This window comes from Homo sapiens, chromosome 22 (genome assembly GCF_000001405.40).
Source record: "Homo sapiens chromosome 22, GRCh38.p14 Primary Assembly".
Classification (NCBI taxonomy): Eukaryota; Metazoa; Chordata; class Mammalia; order Primates; family Hominidae; genus Homo; species Homo sapiens.
The window spans coordinates 32,664,921-32,686,330 of NC_000022.11; the positions used below are offsets into that span (position 1 = coordinate 32,664,921).

At 44.9% G+C, this 21,410-nt stretch overlaps 1 protein-coding gene across 18 annotated transcripts in view; it reads right to left on the reverse strand.

The window, feature by feature from the left end:
* SYN3 (synapsin III) overlaps nt 1-21,410 on the reverse strand; it is a 550,562-nt gene that overhangs the window by 157,101 nt on the left and 372,051 nt on the right. The gene's annotated exons all lie outside the window — the stretch shown is intronic.

The following is a 21,410-nucleotide window of genomic DNA, read 5'->3' on the forward strand; positions in this document are numbered from 1 at the left end:
GTCTTTTATCCCTCAACCCCTCCCACCCTTTCCTCCCGAATCCCCAAAGTCCATTGTATAATGTATAATTCTTTTTTTTTTTTTTTTTTTTTTTTTTGGGGCAGAGCCTGTTCTGTCACCCAGGTTAGAGTGCAGTGGTGCCATCCCGGCTCACCACAACCTCTGCCTCCTGGTTCAAGGGATTCTCATGTCTCAGCCTCCCACATACCTGGGACTACAGGCATGTTCCACCACGCCTAGCTAATTTTTGTATTTTTAATAGAGACAGGGTTTTGCCATGTTGGCCAGGCTGGTCTTGAACTCCTGGCCTCAGGTGATCCACCCACCTTGGCCTCCCAAAGTACTAGGATTACAGGTGTGAGCCACCACACCTGGCCCATTGTATCCTCCTTATTATGCCTTGGCATCCTCATAGCCTAGCTCCTACTGATGAGTGAGGAACATATGATGTTTGGTTTTCTATTCCTGAGTTACTTCATTTAGAATAATGGTTTCCAATTCCATCCAGGTTGGTGCAAATACCATTATTTTATTCCTTCTTATGGCTGAGTAGTATGCCACAGTGTGTGTATATATATATATATATATATGTCTCACATATATCACAGATTTTTATCCATTAATTTCATTGATTAATAGGCATTTGGGCTGGTTCCATATTTTTGCAATCGCGAATTTTTAGCAGCAGAATTTAATCACGCGCTCTTCTGTCAAACACTTGTGTGTTTTGGCCTTTAGGACCCAACCTCCTACCTTGCTGGCTGCCCTCCCTTAGTCGCCATCACAGATTCCCCTCTACCTTCCTGACTTTGTATCAGTGAAGTGTCTCAGGGGTCAGCTCTCAGACCTTTTCTCTTTTTCTGTCCATACTCATTCCTTTAGTAACCTCATGTAGCCTAATGACTCTTAACACTATCTATATGCTGATTACTCATCTGTTTATACTTCTAGCCCTGACCTCTCCCTGAATTTGTTCTAACATGTCTAACTGCTTTCTTGACATCTGCACTCTGATGTCCAACGAAATCACACACTATATCTGTAACTGAGCCCTTGAATCTCTCCCCCAGCTCCAAACTAAGTCCTACTTCAGTTAATGGCAGCATCAGGTCAAAACCCTGCGGCTCTCTCGATGCTTTCTCATCTTTCACACCTCACACCCAATCCATGAGCAAATCCTAAAGCCTCTACCTTCAAAATACATTCAGAATATGGTCATTTTCCTCCACCATTACTGCTTCACCTTGGCCCAAATCACCTGCATTATGCCAGTAATCTTTGAATTGGTCTCATTTTGGTCCTCATCTCTCTTTTACCCAGAAGGGTCTCCTTGAACCACATGTCGGAGTGTGTCACTCCTCTATTCAAAACCTCTCAATAGTTTCTCATCTTACTCTAAAGAATAACCCAAACCAAACAATCCAAACAAGCCACAGAGCCTGACACCTTCAGGCATTCAGCACCAGGGCCTTAGGACTTCAGCTCTCTTGTCCCCTTTGTCCCCTCTCTCACTCTGCTCTGGCCATGTGGCCACCTTGCTCTTTCTCCAACTCACTGAGGACTCTCCCACCTCAGGCCCTTCGTCCTTGCTGGCCCTCTCCCTGGAATGCTCTTTCCCCAGGAATCTGGAAGGCTCCTTCCTTCACCTGCTATGGGTCATTATCAGATGTAACCCCTCTCATGAGGCCTTCTCTGGTCACCTTGTTTAACACGGTGGCCCCTTCTGCTCCCCATGCACATTCCCCATCTCCCATCCCTGATTTTTATTCCCCATAACACTTATCTCCATCTAACATGCCATCCAGTTGACTTTATTTTCTGTTCATTGTCTGTTTCCCCCTGTTGGAATGTAATTGCTTATTTGTCTGTCTTGATGTATTTTGTTCAAATATCTAAGCCTGCCTTGCGGTGGGCTGTGGTCTAGGTAACGTGATGGCCAAGGATTTACCAAGGAATAATGAACCACCTCCCCACCTCGACCAAGCTCCATGAATGTCTTTGACTCCATATTCCAGCCTCTACCTGGAATGTCCTTTGTCTGTTTCTCTGAATACCATGCCATCCTTCAAGGTCTGGTTGAAAAGTGATCTCCTCACGGAACACAAGGTCAGGAGATCAAGACCATCCTGGCTAACACAGTGAAACCCTGCTAAATTATGCCCCTTTTTGTTTTATTCACAGACTTTAGAACCAAATCTCAGGGTAACATACAATCTCTCTTCCTTCCTTCCTCCCTTCCTTCCTTCCTTCTTTCATTCCTTCTCCCTCACTCGCTCACTCCTTTCCTCCCTTTCTTTCTTCTCCATTCCTTCTTCCTCACTCACTCACTCCCTTCCTCCCTTGCTTCCTTCTTTCATTCCTTCCTCCTTCCCTCCCTCCCTTTTCCCCTTTCTTTATTCTCTCTTTCCTTCCATCATGCTTTCTGTAAGACTGAAGGGATCATACTATGTATATCATTTGACACTTAGTTTTTTTCAAGATGACAAATATCTTGACATATTTTTCTATCAGCATGGAGTAGCCTATAGTACTAAAGTTTATTAAACCAGTCCCTGCTGATCACACAAAAGTATTGCAAAGTCTTGGCACACCGTCTTTGCGCACTTGCTTAGGTTTTTGGGTAGGTCAAGTTCCTTAAAGTGGGTTGCTGGGTCAAAGGGGATGCACATTTTTATTTGCTAAATTGCTGGGTTGCCTTCCAAATCCATACCACTGTATACTTTAGTATGTGTTCATTTTTATCTCCATAAGGCATCATATAAGAGAGCTCTCCTTCTGCATTTCGCTTAGGTTTTTGGAAAAGTCAGTCAGTCAAGGTCGGGAAAGAAGAGGATCGGGGAAGGCTTCCAAGAGGAGATCACTTTTCTTTCTTTCTTTCTTTTTTTTTTTTTTTTTGAGACGGAGTGTCGCTCTGTCGCCCAGGCTGGAATGCAGTGGCGCCATCTCTGCCCACTGCAAGTCCGCCCGGGTTCATGCCATTCTCTTGCCTCAGCCTCCCGAGTAGCTGGGACTACAGGTGCCTACCACCGTGCCCAGCTAATTTTTTTGTATTTTTAGTAGAGACGGGGTTTCACCCTGTTAGCCAGGATGGTCTCCATCTCCTGACCTGATCCGCCTGACTCAGCCTCCCAAAGTGCTGGGATTACAGGTGTGAGCCACCGTGCCCAGCTTGGTTGTTCTTTACTTTATGCTCCTTCACAGTGTTTGAATTGTATACAAGGACACTTTTACCACAAGGAGTGATATAAATGTTTGAAAAATCACCTCATAGATGCAGAAGTAGAAAGTATACATGAAGAGTGTAAATTAGGTTTTACTTTAAAAGTAATCAATTGTTTAGAAGTGTTAAAAGAAACTGTGGATGAGAAATTGTTACATAATTATCTTTTCAATGAAAATGACAATCGGTTTTGTTTCTCCTCACTTCCCTCATTTCCACCCCCCCTTCCTTCACTCCTTTCCCCTTCTCTTTCCCCTCTTCCTGTGGATGAGAAATTGTTACATTGTTATTAACTTTTCAGTGAAAATGACAATCAGTTTTGTTTCTCCTCACTTCCCTCATTTCCCCCTCCCTCCTCCCTTCACTCCTTTCCTTCCTTTCTCCTTCTCCTTCTCCTTCCCCTCTTCCTTCCTCCTCCTTCCTCCACTCCTGCCTTCCCTTCTTCCTTTGTTGTTGTTGTTGGAAGCTGCAGGTATTTCAAGGAGCCAGCAATCCCATTGCAGAACTGATGTAAAGGGACAAACAGCATGGAATTAGGGCTGCCCAAATGTAATGCATGCTACACAAAAATGCTTCCAGTGAGTCTATCTGGGGATGAGGGCAGGGAGAAGGAGGAGAGGTTGGCTTTTAGCTTCACATTGTCCCCGTGCACTCCTGGACCTGCCATCTGCCCCATGAAAGGCCCCAGTGTTCAGATTGCTGCTGCTGAAACTCCCCTTAGGATCCAGAGTGGGCCCAGGCTCATGGTGCCCTGTGTTCTAGGAGCCACATGATTTCACAAACTCACCCTTGCATTTGCTACATTCTTAGCAGGGCCCTGGAACAAAGGAGACATTGAATAAAAACAGTTGACATTTATTAAGCTCTTACTATTATGTGCCTGACTTAGGTTACCTTTTATAATTTCTCAAAAATCCTATGAGGCAGGTATGTAAATCTATATTTTGCAGATACAGAAACTGAGTCATAGGCTAAGTAATTTCCCTAGGCTTGTAGATCTGGGATTTGAAACCGGGTTCTTAGACACTAAGGCTAGTCCTTTAACTACACCCTTTACTGCCTCCAAAAATTATGCTGAATGCTCTGATATCCTGTCAGGAGATATTTTTCTCTAATAAAATAGGGATGGGAGGTGTGTGTTGGGGGAGCTTTCTAGCTTGTCATTCCTTATGGGCCAGCAGGTTGGTGAGGATTAGAGCCAAAAATCTTTGGGGAAGAGAAAAATGGAACCACATGGTCTGTTCCTGAATTCTCCAACAGATCCCTTTGGTCCCAACCTCCAAGTGAGGCTCATTTTATTCTCTCTAGCTCTACACCCTAGTTTCTCTAGTCTGGAGTCATAAACACTGGTGTATGCAAATTAGGCATCAGAGAAAAGAGAACGGCTGTCATTTGCTACAGTTGGAGTAACCACTAGAAAGATGGCAGAATCTGTAAAAGAAGAGAGCGTAACAGTGACAGCAGTGGTGGGCACGTTGTTCTCTAATGCCCATTCTCCCTTGTTCCAAGGTTAAAGAACTCCTAATTTGTAGTTTTATACATGGTTGTCCAGAGTCAAAGCTGTATATTCCAGACTGTTTTCAAATTAGTTGTGACCATATGATTATGTTCTGGTAAGATTTAAGTGGAAGTGTCATCTGATAACTGCTGGGAGACTTCCTTAAAGGGGAGCTGACACATTCTCTCCCTTCTTCTTCATCCTTTTTTTCTTTCTGTTGGATGAAATGCAAATTGGATGGCAGGATAGGGCAGCCATCTTGGGCCATGAGGCAGGTATAGCAATACCTGTACTTTTCAGATAAGAAAACTGAGAATGCAATGAAAGCAACAAGCTAGAAGGAGCTTGACTCCCTGAGGTCTTCATGGAACAGTGTCATTATACTAGCCCCAGACTGCTTACTTCTGGACTTCACTGCATAAGAAAATTAAACTTGTATCATGTTTAAGGAATATTATTTTGGGCCTCTGTTACTTATACCATTTAATATACATCATCACGGCTTCTTGGAAAGATTTCAGGATTGGTAATGAGATTTGTTTTATTTCCATCTTTTCCCCTAACTTATACGCTTCTAAGTTCTCTTGTTCCCAATATAGAAATTAGAACTAGATATATCTCCCTCACATGCATTGATTTTTATATTATAGTAAAATACATTTCATAAAAAGGAGAATAGAGATTTGAGGAGTGGATGCAAAAAAGTCTGAGGGAATCTGATTACACTGGTATATTTTGGCTTTAGGCTATAGGGGGGAAAAGATCCTGCTTAATTAATTAATATAAGCACAAAACAGAGAGAGGACTAAACATTCAAGTTACAGCAAGACCAGAGATGACGCTGGGTCTCTGAAAAGCTGGAAAGAGGGATCCTCTGCTGTCTTTTAACCCTACTTCTCTATCGTTTGGATTCAGTCTTTGTTATGGTGGCTTTGTGGCTTCTTCCACAAGGTGAGTTTTGTATCTTACAGCATTAGGCATTGAAGAGGGATGACTCCCTTTCTTCACTGTGTTGTGAGGACTCTCAGGGAAGAGCTCTAACTGGCCAATCTTGGTTCAGCTGCTCTTCCTAGAGACCTATCAGTCATTGCCAGGAAGCATGCTGTGCAAAAGAACTGTTCTTGCAGAATGTGGCTATGTGGATTGTATATAACGAGCATGTGCTACTTTTATCGTAAGTGATGAGATGAATGTCTGGAGTAATGAGGTAAGTGTGGGACGTGGTGAGTAGGAGGGCATGGGGGGATTCCCCCCTTCCTAAAAAGGCAGCGCTGACAGCACACCCCTAGGTGACCACTACGGTGTTCAGGAATAGCAAGAGCAATTCTATTGACAACGGAGCAAAGTGTGGTGGACCGGGTGGAAGTCAAGAGACGCGGATTCTAGCCCTGGCACCATAAGGCTATTTGGCACATCTCTTTCTTCAGTGGGTTTCAGTTTACATATCTGTCAAGTGATGATGTTAAATCAGCTTGAACTAGCTCAGTTGTTTTCAAAGCTTTTTTTCGTTTACAGAGGTTTTTGGGGTGCACGGGTTAGGGTGCTAGGGATCCTCACTAGATCTTCTTTCCATTCTCTACAAAACCCGCCCATTTTCACACACACACATGCATTGACATGCACTCTTACACACTTACACTCCCACCCATGCTCACAGACACGCACACATTCACACACCTCCTGTCACATACACACACCCATCCACACCCACACTCACTCTTACTTCCTCACACTCACCTGCACACTCACCCGCATCCTCTCACACTCATCTCACATACATACTCACACATCCACCTAAAAACACACCCTCCCTCACACACACAGACACACCCACACTTACACACACATGCTGTCGCACAGGTGCACACACGCTCTCACACAGCTACACATACACACGCTCTCACGCAGGTGCACACACACACACATGCTCTCAAACAAGTGCACACACACACGCTGTCATACAGGTGCACACACGCTCTCACACAGGTATACACAGACGCTCTCACACAGATGCACACACGCTGTCACACACGCTCTCACACAGGTACACACACGCTGTCACACAGGTGCACACACATGCTCTCACAGGTACACACACATGCTATCACACAGGTGCACACACACTGTCACACAGGTGCACACACACATGCTCTCACACAGGTACACACACACGCTGTGACACAGGTGCACACACATGCTCTCACAAAGGTGCACACACACGCTCTCACACAGGTACACACACACACGTTTAGTGTATGCGGAGTCACATTTGTTCTCCAGAGCTTGTTGGATTGGATGATCTCAAGTGTCCCTCACAAGTTGTCAGCATCCATGGTTCCATTCAAATTGGGAACTTTCCAGGGCTTTGAGCCCTAAATTCTGGAGAGCAGCAGTTGTTACAGAGAAAAGTCATAATGAAGAGAGTCTAAACAACTATGAGAGACTTTCTACCCTCCTTTGCTCTTCCTCCCCCATCCATCATGGCCAGCAGGCTGGATGTGTCCTTTCACTAGTGATGGAAGATGAAGAACATCTGTAGATCCCCAGGGAGCTGCATTTATTAAAAAAAGGTCTGCATAGCCCTATTAATACACAATGTCTTGCCCATCCTTGGGTCCATCTATACAGTACTGATCCATCTTTAAATACATGTAAAAATAAAATGCAAACATAGACTATCTGGCAAAAAATAAAATAAAATAAACATATGTAGATGAGGAATAAAATTAAGATGCATGGTATGTTTTGGTTTGGAGCTATTTTCTCAGTGAGCAGTCATCAACGTAAAGAAACTGATGTGTGGGGCTGCAGAGAAATGGATTGTCTTGGAGAAGTCTCAGCGCTAAGTCTGGAGTCAGGCGTCTTCTCCCCTAGGGCAGGCGTGTGCTTCCAATGTTCCTGCTGCTTGGGGCAGGGATGGCCCCGCCATCCTTTGCTATCTCTCTGATCTCTCCACAGGCTGCTATGTCCCTCCGCCTGGTGAGAAGACAGACTCTCCCAAGCACAAAGCCACGCTGTCTTGAGCTGGCACCTTCCTGCGTGGGAACCCAGAATCACTCTCAACAGCCCTTTCTTTCTCCCTGCAGCCTGTGAGCTGGGGAGGCGGCCAGCTGGGGTGGTTCCCACATTGGGAAACTGGGTGGGGCCTGGGGAGCCCCTTGGCCTTGGTCAAGAAGACAGACCCAGGCCCCTCCCTGGGAATTCTATATAATGCAGAAGTGGCGAGAGAAAGAGAGCTTTGTGGATAGTCGCCTCCCATTGGGACATGGATTGGTTGGCCACTGACACTGATGTGGGCAGAAAGAAGTGGCTGTTGTTTTACCAGGGCTGGCACCTGGTTAGGACGAAGCCCAATCCCCTTTGGAGGGCCCCAGATGGGGTTCAAGTGGGAAAAAATGGATCTCAGGGCAGAATCTGATGTGGATTCCTTTCTGGGTGTTGAGAAAAACACAAAACAATAACTCTTCCTTTCGCCTCCTAAGAAGTAGAGTAGGTTCAGCAGGATGAAGTAGGTTTCTTGGGATTAAGGGTACGTAGGATGTTCTTTGGCAAAGGTGGTCATGCTTTGAAAAGGGGGATGCTCTATGGAGCTGTGGGGAAGAGGGAAGAGGGGAGGTTCCCACATATAGGGTGTTGTGTCAGAAATGAAGAGGGAGGCAGCTTCTCCTTCTCACTATCTCCTCCCCCAGAGAGGGACCCAGCAACAGGAGTCAAGGGTTGCCCCCAACACAGCTGAGCAGGACCCTCCCCACTGTGGGTCTTGATGCAGAGCATGGGCCGTTCGGTCATTGCTCATGGATGAAACGACCAAGCCTGTCTTCCATGTTTCAGGCACAATAAACAAAAGATTTCAAGAAGCTCACTGTGTACTAGGGAAGGCAGACAAGCCAACAGGCAGATCTGACATAGTGCCATGATAGTGGAAGGTTGGCAGCCATGGGAGTTCCCAGGAGGGTACCCCATCAGGACTTGAAGAGCCAGGGATGGCTTTCTCGAAGAAGCAACATTTAAGCTGAGAGTTCAAAGATGAGTTGGGCTTAGTAGGATGAAGGAGGGGCAGAGGGCGTATTCTAGACAGAAGGATTTGTACGTGCAAAGGCTTAGGGATGAGAGAAAGATGGTGAGTTCCAAGAGTTCAATACAGCTGAAGGTTTTACCATATGTAAGTTTCCCCAAATGAGGTGATGCCAGAGAAATGAGCGTGGCTCTGATGTGCAGGACAGTGCTGAGGAGTATAGGCTTTCTCCTGGGGGCAAAATCATCTCCTGGGAGCCCTGATGGGTATGGAGCTCCAGAGTGGCACGATTGCATATGAGCTACTCTGTGGAGGTGTGGCTACTCTGTGGGAGTTGGACTCAAAGGGGATAAAGGCGGGGAGGCTGTTGCTGAAACCCAGGCAAGAGATGGCAAGGGTGAGAGTGTGGATAGTGGCACAGGGGATGAGTGCTGGGCGGGAGGGGACCCAGATGGAGGGCAGCCTAGATATGGGTAGAGTAGGAGAGGGAGAAGGAGAGGTCAAAGGTGATGCCAGGTTTCTGGTTTAGCAGAGACTGAGATTGTTTTCCAAGCTGTGAATTGCACCCTTCCAGCTTTGGGGAAGCCATTTCTGCAGCCAGTCTTGTCTGTCCCTGAGGGATGGTTCTGGAGTTGGAATTGGGGTGGGGAGGCACCTGGGAAAGCGATGTTCCAGTGAAGATAGTGGTTCTGATAGAAAGACTGGACTCTGGCCTGCATATTTCTCATGCAAATCTGCCACCAGAATGTTCATGTCATGAGGGAAGGGGCTTTGCTTCTGTTGCTCTCTTTTGTTGCTACAGGTAATGCCTATCAGTGCTACCAGTTGCTAGAATAATGCCTGACACACAGGAGATGCACAGAAAATGTTTGTTGAATGGGAAAATGATGGTGGCTACAGGTACAGGATTGGGAGGATTTACCATTCCAATCAGTGAAATGGGATAATTGGATCCCTTTGATATGTCACAGAAACGTCACTCTGGTTTCATCATTCCTTTTGATCAAAGGGTGTCTAAGATGGTGCAGATGACCAGAATGGAGAGAAGAGGGATAATGGCATATGTATGCACACATAGGTATGTAAAGTACACGCCCTAGATGATAAACAAGGCAATACACCATGATGGCTTAATAACTTTCATTGTCATCATCAGCATGGGTATCATCACTAGCTTAGATTGATACGTTAACGTGTACCAGACACCAAAACTTGCAGGCGCTTTATATCCATTATCTCATCTAATCATCACAGAAACCCTATGGAGGAGATCCTGATATGATTATAGTTGGACTCATGCAGAAACTGAGACTCAGAGAGGTAACAGATGTACCCCTTGTCACACACCTCAGCTGTGCCGGGCCAAAGACTGAACAAAGTTCTGTCTGAATCTAAGGCCACTTTCCCTCTAGTCTGAGCTCTTGTTTCATGGAAGAAACAAATGTGGTTGAAACAGAAACTAAGGGTAGAGAGAAAACTCTGCAATGTCCCAGGAGGCCTCTAGGCTTGGTAAGAGTCCAAATGGGCCGGAGAACTTTCTTTGGCCCCTGACCTGGCTGGACAGTCAGCAGGAAGTATCATCTTGTGGGTTTGTTAATTTACCATCCACCTGCAAGCCTTGTCATATATCTTCCAGACCTGACAAAATACCCTCACCTAACACAACCCTGTCCCTGCTTAGTGTCTTTTCAAAACCACCACCAAATCTGAGAAGGGAGAGCCAGGAGCAGGTGCTTGCCACATCCTCTCCTGGAATCAGAGTGCAGCAACCTAGGGCTATTGTTCAGCTGCCTGGGACATGGCATCTTAGGTTGGGGTGATTCTGGAGACACTGGGAGAACAGCTGGCATCTGGTGTGCTGGGCTGATGCTGGAGACGTTATTAAAAAGTGCCTCCTGCAACTCTGCACCCCACCCCAGCCCCAGAGTAACACGTTTCTTCTCTTTCACCCAAGGGTACCCTCTAGAGAGATGAGTCACTGCTCTGGGGGAAGGAAGTTACTATGGAATCTGAAATCAAAGGTGCCACTTTTCTGATTATTAAGCTAAAAGCCAGCTAAGCTGCATGAAGGCTGACAGATTCAGTTGCCTGCTTTTGTTGTTTTTCTTCTCACTGCAAACTTGATGAAAGTCTCCCTGAGCTAGCAAGTGGTGAGCGGGAGGCGAGATCACAGACAGGGACCCAGTGAGGGGGAAGAATTTCCCCTTTGCCCTAGGAGCCCCATGATGGCCAGAAACCTAATCAGAGCCCAGGTGTCCTGCTGGTTGTTGTTGCATGAGGACCACAGGTGAACTGGAGGAAATATCTGTCTTGAAGACATTGTTCAGCTCTCATCCAAACTGTCATTGTGTGGTCAATCCCCTATCCAGTGGTCCAGAGCACTCTTCCAGCCCCAGGATGAACTCTGAGGATGAAGACTACCTGAAAGGTATCTCAGATGATACTGGCCCAAGATCTCCCCTGAGGAGCCCTCCCAGCCCCTGCCCTTGAGCACGCATATTGAAAGAAATACTGTCTTTCATCAAGCCTCCTGCCTTCACAGTGTGTCCACTTGCAGAGAAGTTCTGGGTGATGTCCACAATGCTGGTTCATTAAGGCGTATCCCAGGGCTGGAAGCCAGTCATCTCATCAGGGAAGGGCCTGGGTATTTGGAAGGAGCTGGGCAGAGGCAACAGGTCCCAGACAGCTTGGCACCAGCAAGATTTATCTGGGCATTTGTCAGAACTGCCAGCTTGTCCTAGGGAGTTTCCCTATCTGCAGAAGCCCGGAGGTGTGTGGACAGGGCCCTGTGCCAGTGCAAAGTCTCAGTGTAGCCTCCTTCTCCAGACAAACACCAATCATAACAGCTTCCATTTTCTTTCTTTTCTTTTCTTTCTTTTTTTTTTTTTTTTTTTTTTTTTTTTTGACAGAGTCTCGCTCCGTTGCCCAGGCTGGAATGCAGTGGCACGATCTTGGCTCATGCAAACTCCACCTCCTGGGTTCACGCCATTCTCCTGCCTTAGCCCCCCGAGTAGCTGGGACTACAGGCACCCACCACCACTCCCGGTTAATTTTTTGTTTTTTTTTTTTTTAGTAGAGACGGGGTTTCACCGTGTTAGCCAGGATGGTCTCAATCTCTTGATCTTGTGATCTGCCCACCTCGGCCTCCCAAAGTGCTGGGATTACAGGCGTGAGCCACTGTGCCCAGCCAACAGCTTCCATTTTCAAATGGCACCCACGTGACAGGCCTTGTGCGGCCAGCTCTACATGATGTCATCACATCCTTCTGAGAACCATGCACACTTGGGAATTATTCTTCCCCTTTACAGGTGAGAAAACAAAGCTCAGAGGCTGGTGACAGAACCACGACAATTTGAAGTCTAATCAGTATGGTTTCAAAGCTCAAATTCTTTGCAATTAAACTCAACACATACATATTGGACATACATGTTGTGGCAGACGCAATGCTAGACTCAGGGGCTTCAGAGATGGATAACGCTGTTCCTATCCTGGAGGAGCTTACCAGAAGCTTTGACATACCCCTGAAAATGCTCTAGCACCTGGGATTAAGGAGGCTTAGAGGAAGGAGGAATTCACTCTTTCTGGGTAATCGGTGATGAGTTTTTCAGAAGCAGTGATCCTCTATCCAGCTTTCGAGGAGTGTGCCAGGGGAAGAAGACCCTTCCAAATGCGCTAGTATGTAACACATCTGTACTAGGATGTTTACTGTACCATTGTTCATGGAAGACTGCAGGGCAGTGTGCATACCATAAATCCTCATTGGTAGGGGACTGGTGGAATAAATTGTGGCTCAATCACATCAAAGAATATTTTGAAACCATTGAAAGAAACAAATTAGAGTCATATCAAAATGACACAAGATTGACTGGGCGCGGTGGCTCATGCCTGTAATCCCAGCACTTTGGGAGGCCAAGGCGGGTGGAACATGAGGTCAGGAGATCGAGATCATTCTGGCTAACACGGTGAAACTCCATCTCTACTAAAAATACAAAAAAAAATTAGCCGGTCGTGGTGGCGGGCGCCTGTAGTCCCACCTACTCGGGAGGCTGAGGCAGGAGAATGGCATGAACCTGGGAGGTTGAGCTTGCAGTGAGCCGACATCGCACCACTGCACTCCAGCCTGGGCGACAGAGCAAGACTCCTTCTCGGAAAAAAAAAATAATCATAATAAAATAAAAAAAGACACAAGATTGAGTGAAAAGCAAGCTGGAGAGAAGTGTGTGTGTGTGTACACAGATAGGCATGTATGTTGATAGGAATTCAGAGCAAGGGATTCCCTGCAGAAGACACAGCATGGTCAAAGGTAAGGAGATGTAAATAATGTCTAGGGAACTACAAAGAGCTCAGTTCTGCTGGAGTGTCATGAGGAAGGTGAGGCCTCAGAGGGAGGCAGGAAGTTCCCAGGAGCTGAATAGTAGGTGTGGTTGGAATGAGAGTTTGATTTGGCAATTGGATAGGCATCTTTAGGAACTGGCCCAATCTGGGGAGATTCGTGGCTGAATTCAGGCTGGGATTGGGTGTTGTAATGGTCACAGCCTTACAGAAAAGGTGGAAATGAATTTGACTCTAGAATGGAAGTCCAGTCAATGGAGTGAAGCAGAACATTGGACAGGAGAATCCAGGCACCTGCGGCCCAGTCCAGTCTAGCACAAACTCACTGTGGGCTCTCAGATGTCCCTTTTCCTTTCTGAATCTCTCCTGTCTATTCCCACTTCTCTCCAAATGTGTGATGTCAGATCACACAGAACGCCCCAGCCACATCCAGGCAAGGTCCCTCAACAATTAGTCCAGGCAGGACAACAAACTCTAACCACATATCTGTCCCCACAGCTTCACTGAAAGTACTCTTACTAAGATCATCCTTGTCGTTGAAAGACCTTCCTCCTCCTCCTCCTCCTTCATCCTCCTCCTCCTTCCTCCTCCTCTCCTCCTCCTTCTTCTCCTTCTTCTCCTTCTTTCTTCCTCTTCTTCCTCTTCCTCTTTTTCTCCTTCTCCTTCTCCATCTCCTCTTCTTCCTCCTCCTCCTCCTCTTTCTTCTTTCATCAGAAGCATTTGACTAAGGAGCCATCCTCTCCTTTGCAAAACACTATTCATCTCAGCTTGTGTGACAGGACAACTCTTATGGTTTTTCTTCTCTTCCTTCATATTCTTTGCTGGCTCTTCTTTTTTAAACTCTGAAATTTAACTGCTACTCTATTTCTTTGACTATTTTAGATGCCTCATATAAGGGGAATCATGTAGTGTTTGTCTTTCTGTAGCTGACTTATTTCACCTAGCATAATGTCTTCCAGATCCATCCATGTTGTAACAAATATCAGGATTTTTTCTTTTTTTAAGGCTAAATAATATTCCATTGTATGAGCAGAAGACATTTTCTTTTTTCTTTGTTTCTTTCTTTTTTTTTTTTTTTTTTTTTTGAGATGGAGTCTCGATCTGTCACCCAGGCTGGAGTGCAGTGGTGCGATCTTGGCTCACTGCAACCTCCGCCTCCCAAATTCAAGTGATTCTCCTGCCTCAGCCTCCCGAGTAGCTGGGACTACAGGCACCCACAACCACATCCAGCTAATTTTTGTATTTTTAGTAGAGACAGGGTTTCACCATGTTGGCCAGGATGGTCTCGATCTCTTGACCTCATGATCCACCCATCTCGGTCTCCCAAAGTGTTGAGATTACAGGCATGAGCACCGCGCCTGGCAATACCACATTTTCTTTATCCATTCATCTGTCGATGGACTTTTGTGTTGCTTCCATATTTTGGCTATTACGAATAATGCTGCAATGAACATGAGAGTGAAGGTATCTCTTTGAGATCCTGATCTCAATTCTTTTGGATATATATCCAGAAGAGGGATTGATGGATCATACGGTAGTTCTACTTTTATTTTTTTAAGGAACTTCCATACTGTCTTCTGTAGCAGCTGCACCATTTTACATTCCTACCAACAGTGTGTAAGTATTTTAATTTTTCCATAGCTTCATCAACACTTTTGTTTTTAATAACAGCCATCCTAACATCCTAACAGGTGTGAGGTGATATCTCAGTGTGGTTTTGATTTTTGTTTCCTAATGATTAGCCATGTTCAGCATCTTTTCATATATCTGTTAGCCATTTGTATGTCTTCTTTGGAGAAATATCTATTCAAGGTTTTTGCCCACTTTAAAACTGGGTGAGGTTTGTTTTTTGGCTTTTTTTTTTTTTTTTTTTGCTATTGAGTTTTAGGAATTCCTTATATATTTTGGAAATTTATCCCTTACAGCTTCCACAGTAGTTTTCTTCATGCTTATTTTACTAAATTACCTTGATTATTTACCTTGTCTATATCTTTCTTCTCTGTTTCTCCCACTAGAATATAAACTCCATGAGGGCAGAGCCTAGTCTGCTTTATTTATGTCCTCAGCACCTCAATGCCTGACATGTAATAGAGGTTCAGGTAATATTCTGTAATCGAATGAATAAATAATTATTGATTTCTACTTCTAAAAGTCCTTCTTTATTTACTTCTAAACTACAGCTCGCCATGGTGCCTTGGATAAATCTCTCATTCTAGCCACATCCTCAGATATTCTCTTTCCTTTTCTGTGGCTCCAGCTCAAATTCAATTTTCTCCATGTGGTCTCCTTTGACTTTTTATGGCAGAATTATGCACTCCCTTCTCTGTGCTCCCATACCCTTTGCCTCTGCCTGAATTCATGCACTTGTTTAATTCTACTTGATAGTACTGTTTGTTTTTCCCTTGTTTGTCTTCCCCAGAAGACTGTCAACTCTTTGAGGACAGAGGTCATGCTCTAATTTTGTCTGTATTCCACAGCATCTAGTTCAGTGTGTTTTTCAAATCAAGACACCTTGTTGAATGGGATGGGATCTGGCTGACAGCACTCTCACACCGTTGCTTGCACAGACTGGCCAACTGGTTTACCTGGTTTGCCCAACAAAGCCTCCTTAGATCTAGGTTGACTCCCTGTTCCAGAAGGCAATCCTGTGTACTCAACTTGCTAGTAGGTTTCATCCTTTGGATTCAGAATTTCCTATTTGTTCAGAGTTGTAAATTTCAGTGCCAAGCTACAAGTCCAACTCCATTCATTATCCTCTCTTTTATGTTCATGGCATATTTCAAAGTCAACATCTAAAGTCAAAAATCAAAGGATTTCCAAACTTAGTTTTTCCTCTCTCTTGAGGTTCCTTCCATATATCTAGGCTATTGCTAACATCAAATGTCCCAGCTCCAGAAATGCAGGCTGGGCTGACTTTTTTCTATGCTCTAGAAGAAAGCTGTGAAACTCAGCAAGATGTGATTCCTCCCCTTCTCCACATATCTTCACTTGTTAAATTCTACTTCTTATTTAAAGCTCAGCACAATCAATCTTTTCTATGTTTCACATATCACTTGCCATGATAAGGGAGGTGGGAGCTTGCCTGGCAGGCTCAAGGAATGGCAAGAAGGGTGATGTAGCTTGGTGAAGTGAGGGAGGAGAGAGTATGGGAGATGAGGTGGCAGAGTCGACAGGGGTTGCAGAGGGTGTAGAGAAGTGGTTCTCAACCAGGGGGCCATTTTGACCTCCAGGGATATTTGGCAACGTCTGGAGACATTTTTGGTTGTTACAACTTGGGAGTGGGGGGTGGGATGCTACTGGCATCGAGTTAGTAGACAAAGGTCAGGGATAGTGCCAAATGGCTTGCCTGGCAGGTTTGAGGGTATAGAGGAATGGTTCTCAACCAGGGGCCATTTTGGCCCCAGGGGATATTTGGCAATGTCTGGATATTTACCTTGTGCCTGGATTTGTTCTAGATACACTTTCACCTACATGTCCTCTAATCTTCTCAACAGCCATGGAACACACATATGATCCCATTTACCATATGAGAAAACCACGACTCAGAGAGGCTGAGGTTCCTGGTCAGTATGTGACCAGGGCAAGACTGGACTTCAGCTCACCTGACCAGGAAGACAGTGCTTTCTCCACCCTATTTGGCTGTTGCAGCTGCTGACTCAATCCACCATTCACAATAGTACCTCACTTTATTCAACAAATATTTTGCAAACACTTCCTATGCACCAGGCAGTGTTCTAAGCACTCAGAACACATTAGTGGATATAGCAAACAAAAGCCCATGAAGGCATGTAGATAGTTATATTCTAGTTGTGGGAGACATACTAAAAACGATCAATAGATAAAACAAGTTATGAAGTACTAGAAAGTAAAAAGAGGTATGAAATGAACTGCAGGGCAAGTGGGATAGAGAGTCCTGGAGGTATGGGATGGTGGACACAATTTCAAATACAGCTGTCACGAAGCCACATTATGATGGTGATGTTTGAGCCGAGACTTAGCAGAGGTAAGAGAGTTAGTCATGTGGGATTGGGGAAAGACGATGTAGCTTGGTGAAGTGAGGGAGGAGAGGGCACGGGAGATGAGGGGCAGCAGGGGTTGCAGAGGGTGGAGAGGAGTGGTTCTCAACCAGGGGCCATTCTGACCCCAGGGGATATGGGCAATGTCTGGAGACATTTTTGGTTGTCACAACTTGGGAGTGGGGGTGGGATGCTACTGGCCTCTAGTAGGCAAAGGTCAGGGATTCTGCAAAACATCCTACAATGCACAAGTCTGCCCCCACAAAATAGAATTATCCAGCTCCAAATATCAATCGTGTAGAGACTGAGAGACTGGTTGAGAGCCAAGATCTTTTGAGGATCTTGAACAGAGGAGTGACATGATTTGACTTACATTTTGCAAGATGCCTCTGGCTGCTGTATTGAGAATAGACTATAAGGATAAGGGCAAGGGAGGAAGCAGGGACACCAGTCTGGAGATTACTGCAGTCACCCAGGAATTAGATGTAGGACGACTCATCCCCTTCTAGGGTGGAAGGCCCTGGAAGCCAGGGAGGAAGGGCAGTAGCATTTACGGAGCACCCAGAGGGTGCTAGGCTTTCATATACATTATCTCTTTAGACCCCATCTGATCTTTATTAGTCCCAGCACTTGGATTGGAGTTAAGTTGTTTAAGTAGTTTGACATCGCTGGATGTAAATGAGGCTTTGAGTAGAAAGAAGAGAAGGTTTTTATTGCACAGCGTTTGACGAATCAGTATTTATTCTGGGTGATGTTATTTTTCACCAATAGGGTGGATGCCTGGACTGCAGGTAGGCACATGCCCTTGTAAAGGCACACGAAGAAACTCTTGGAGAAGCCCAGACAGAGCTCTCCTGTGGTACCCATGTGTTATCATTTAGCAGATATGCCCTTGGAAGGTGCCTTGGTGAGGCTAGCTGTGACACATTCCGTTAAGAATAAACATTTGCATAGGGCACCTGAAGCCAGGCACCTGTGGCCACTTTTCCTGGAAGAGCCAAGCTCTTGAAAATATCTACATTAGGGTCTTTCCTCCAAGAACTGGAAGGTCATCCATGCAAGAGTGGACAAATAGGTGTGATGCGGGTTGCAGAGGAGCAAGAAGCTCAGCCAATAAAATGCCAGATGGTGACTCACAGCAAGTGATGATGGAGTGAGCTTGTTTGTGTCATGCCAGTGAAATAATTCATGACCATATCAATGGTGTGGTCCTGCTCTTTCTTCTGCGGAGGGGAGCGGGGTGGGGGGCAGTGCAGGAGATGATGTTGATGACATTTTCTGCCTCTTAATTGCCTTCCCCCTTCCTGGGGTAGGTGATCAGGCTGACCAAACCCCTCCTCCTTAGAACTCTCTCCTCTCTAGGCTTCCATGGCCATACTTTTTATGCCCTCAGCTCCTTCCTGGTGCCATTTCTTCTGCCTGGAATGCTTGTTTCTTAGGGCTCCTGTAGCTCTGCTTCACAGATCGGGTGGTTTAAAAACAGCAGAAATGTATTCTCGCAGTTCTGGAGGCTGGAAGTCTGAAATAAGTAGGGGCTTCCTCTTCCTAGCTTCTGGTGGTTGATGGCAATCTTTGGCGTTCCTTGGCTTACAGCTGTGTCACTCCAGTCTCTGCCTCTGTCACCACATGGTGATCCCGTGTGTTTCTATTTTCACATGGCCGTCTTCTATAAGGACAACAGTGATATTGTGGTGACATCTATAAGATGTCTTCATGCTGGTCCTAATGCTCAGTACTTCAGAAGGAAGTATTTACTTGGAAATAGTGTCCTTGCAGATGTCATTGTCCTTACCTTTTTTATGTGTGTTGGGGGGAATACAATTTAACCCATAACAATACCCTTCTCTACTTTCCCCTCATAGTCTAGAAGTACACTAGCAAGCAAGCTAACACTGCAGTTTCTGGGAGAATTCTTAGGTTCTCTTGCTACTGGGGCCCTCACTGAATGGATGGATGCAAGTCTCTTCAGATTGTTGTTTTGCTGCATTCGTGGACTTTTGGTCCACTAGTATTCATTCCTAAAAGGAACAATTCCTATCCCACCCATGTGATCCCAATTGAGCATCAAATATGATGCATAGATTCCCAAACAACAGTGGTTAATCAGAGTGCTGCATCCCTCCCAGGAACAATGATTGATCCAGTGGGGGAACATGACCCAAGAAGGGACGATCACAGTTCTTCTGTGAAATACTGAAATAAGGCGTTAGGAGAGTGAGTCTTCCTTTCTTTTGAACACAGTTGGAGCTTGCAGAAGCCTTCTTGTCTACCACATAAAGTGATCTAATCTAAATAATGAAGCAGGAACAAGCAGAGCAGAGAGAGGAGACAGAGATAGAGCCCTGATGACATCATTTCAGGTCCTAGATCCAGCTGTGCCTGAAGCCATTGGCCCTGGAATTCTAAGAAACAAAAACAATGACTTTCCTTTTTCTCTTAACTACTTGGAGTTGGGTTTTTTCTTATTTCATTTGAAGGAGTTTATTAATTCAGCTGCCTTCCACCATCACCAAGCTCTTTTCTAAAACAGCAACCACATCATTGTCAAACATTGCATTAACACTAACTCTTTACAATGCAAGGCACTCTACAGAGCAATTTCTTGCACTTGAAAGCATTGAATTAGGATTCCCCTTGCTGAACTCTGAGCCCTCAAGCACACCATGCATTTGGCAAAATGCCTTGGATGTTTTTTACATTCATGGCTTTTTAACTGTCACTGCTACACGTTCATGAAAAGGGGCTCATAATGCAATAAAGAGAGCTCTAAAACAGATGTCAGAAAATGTGGGTTCAAGTTCCGGCTCTTCCAATTACTAGCAGTGTGACCGTCAAAAAGTTACTTGGTTTCTCTGAGCCCCAATTTCTCTATCAGTGTAACAGGCACACTCATTTCCTGCCCTATCTAATTCTCAAGATTGTTGGGAGGACGAAATGAGATAAAGTAGGAATTGGCAAACTGTGGCTCATGGGCCAAATATGGTCCACTGCCTCTTTTTTTATAAACCAAGTTTTATTGGGACACAGCCATGCCCCATTGTTTATATATGGCTACATTCCTTTCACACTACAGCAGCGGAGCCAGGTGACAGACTTTATGGCCGGCAAGCAGAAAAGTAACATTATGTCAAGGGCATTTTCCCATTCTATTTACTGTCTGGACTTTACAGAAGAACTTTGACAATTCCTGCTCTACAAACACAAGGTAGGGTTTCTGTTGACAGCAGGGTTTCCTCAGGTGATTCCTATATCCCTACCTGGAAAACTTCTTCAAGGAGTTTTTCTAAAGTGATAACATCCCAAAATTAGCAAGATGAATGATGAAAGTGAGAACAAACTTTCTGGAGGGCAATTTGACAACACTTCGAAAGCCTCAGAAATATAGTCATGTGCCACATAACGACACTGTAGTCAGTGATGAACCGCATATACAACAGTGGTCCCACAAGATTGTAATGGAGCTGCCCTATACAGGTGTACCACTTCTTATCTTGTGGCCATATTTTTACTGTACCTTTTCTATGTTTAGATACACAAATACCAATGTGGTACCACTGCCTGCAGTATTCAGTAGTACATAGCATGCTGCATAGGTTTGTAGCCTGGAAGTAACAGGCTGTATCATCTAGCCTAGGTGTGTAGTAGGCTAGACTATCCAGGTTTGTGTAAGTGCGCTCTGTGATGTTCACATAATGACGAAATTGGCTAATGATGCATTGCTCAGGACATAACCCAGTCATTAACTGATGCAATACTGTATAACATTCGCCTTGACCTCATCATCCCATTTCTAAGAAGTTGTCTTAAGAAATAATCAGAGTTGAGATGTATCTACAAATTTAAGAAATGATGGTGGAATAATTGCTTAAATTATTCAGCAAATTATATAGTCTTTCCAAATTATGTTTCCAAAGAATTTTTAATAGGATGGGAAAATGTGCCTGTTATAGTATTAGTGAGAAAAAAGTCATTAAAAAACACATTTAATATGATCCCAATTTTATCAAGCAAAACTAGCAGGAAACACACCCCAATTTCATGGCGATTTTCTCTGGGTATTGGAATTACAAGAGGCTTTTATAATGTTAATTTTTATTTTTCTTGTTCTTTTTTATTTCTTTTTAATCTGAAAAGGAATAATTTAGCGAATATGGGTTGGATAAGCTTGAGAAATAACTGATGATTTGAGTTACTCTCTTATCATTATATAGAAAAAGGGTATTATCCTCAACAGGTGTCATGTGGGGCATGTGGGTGAGTGGAAGGGGATGAGGGTCCTGGAGCAGGAGGAGAGTCTGTATCCTGCAGTGACAGCTGCCACTCAACTCT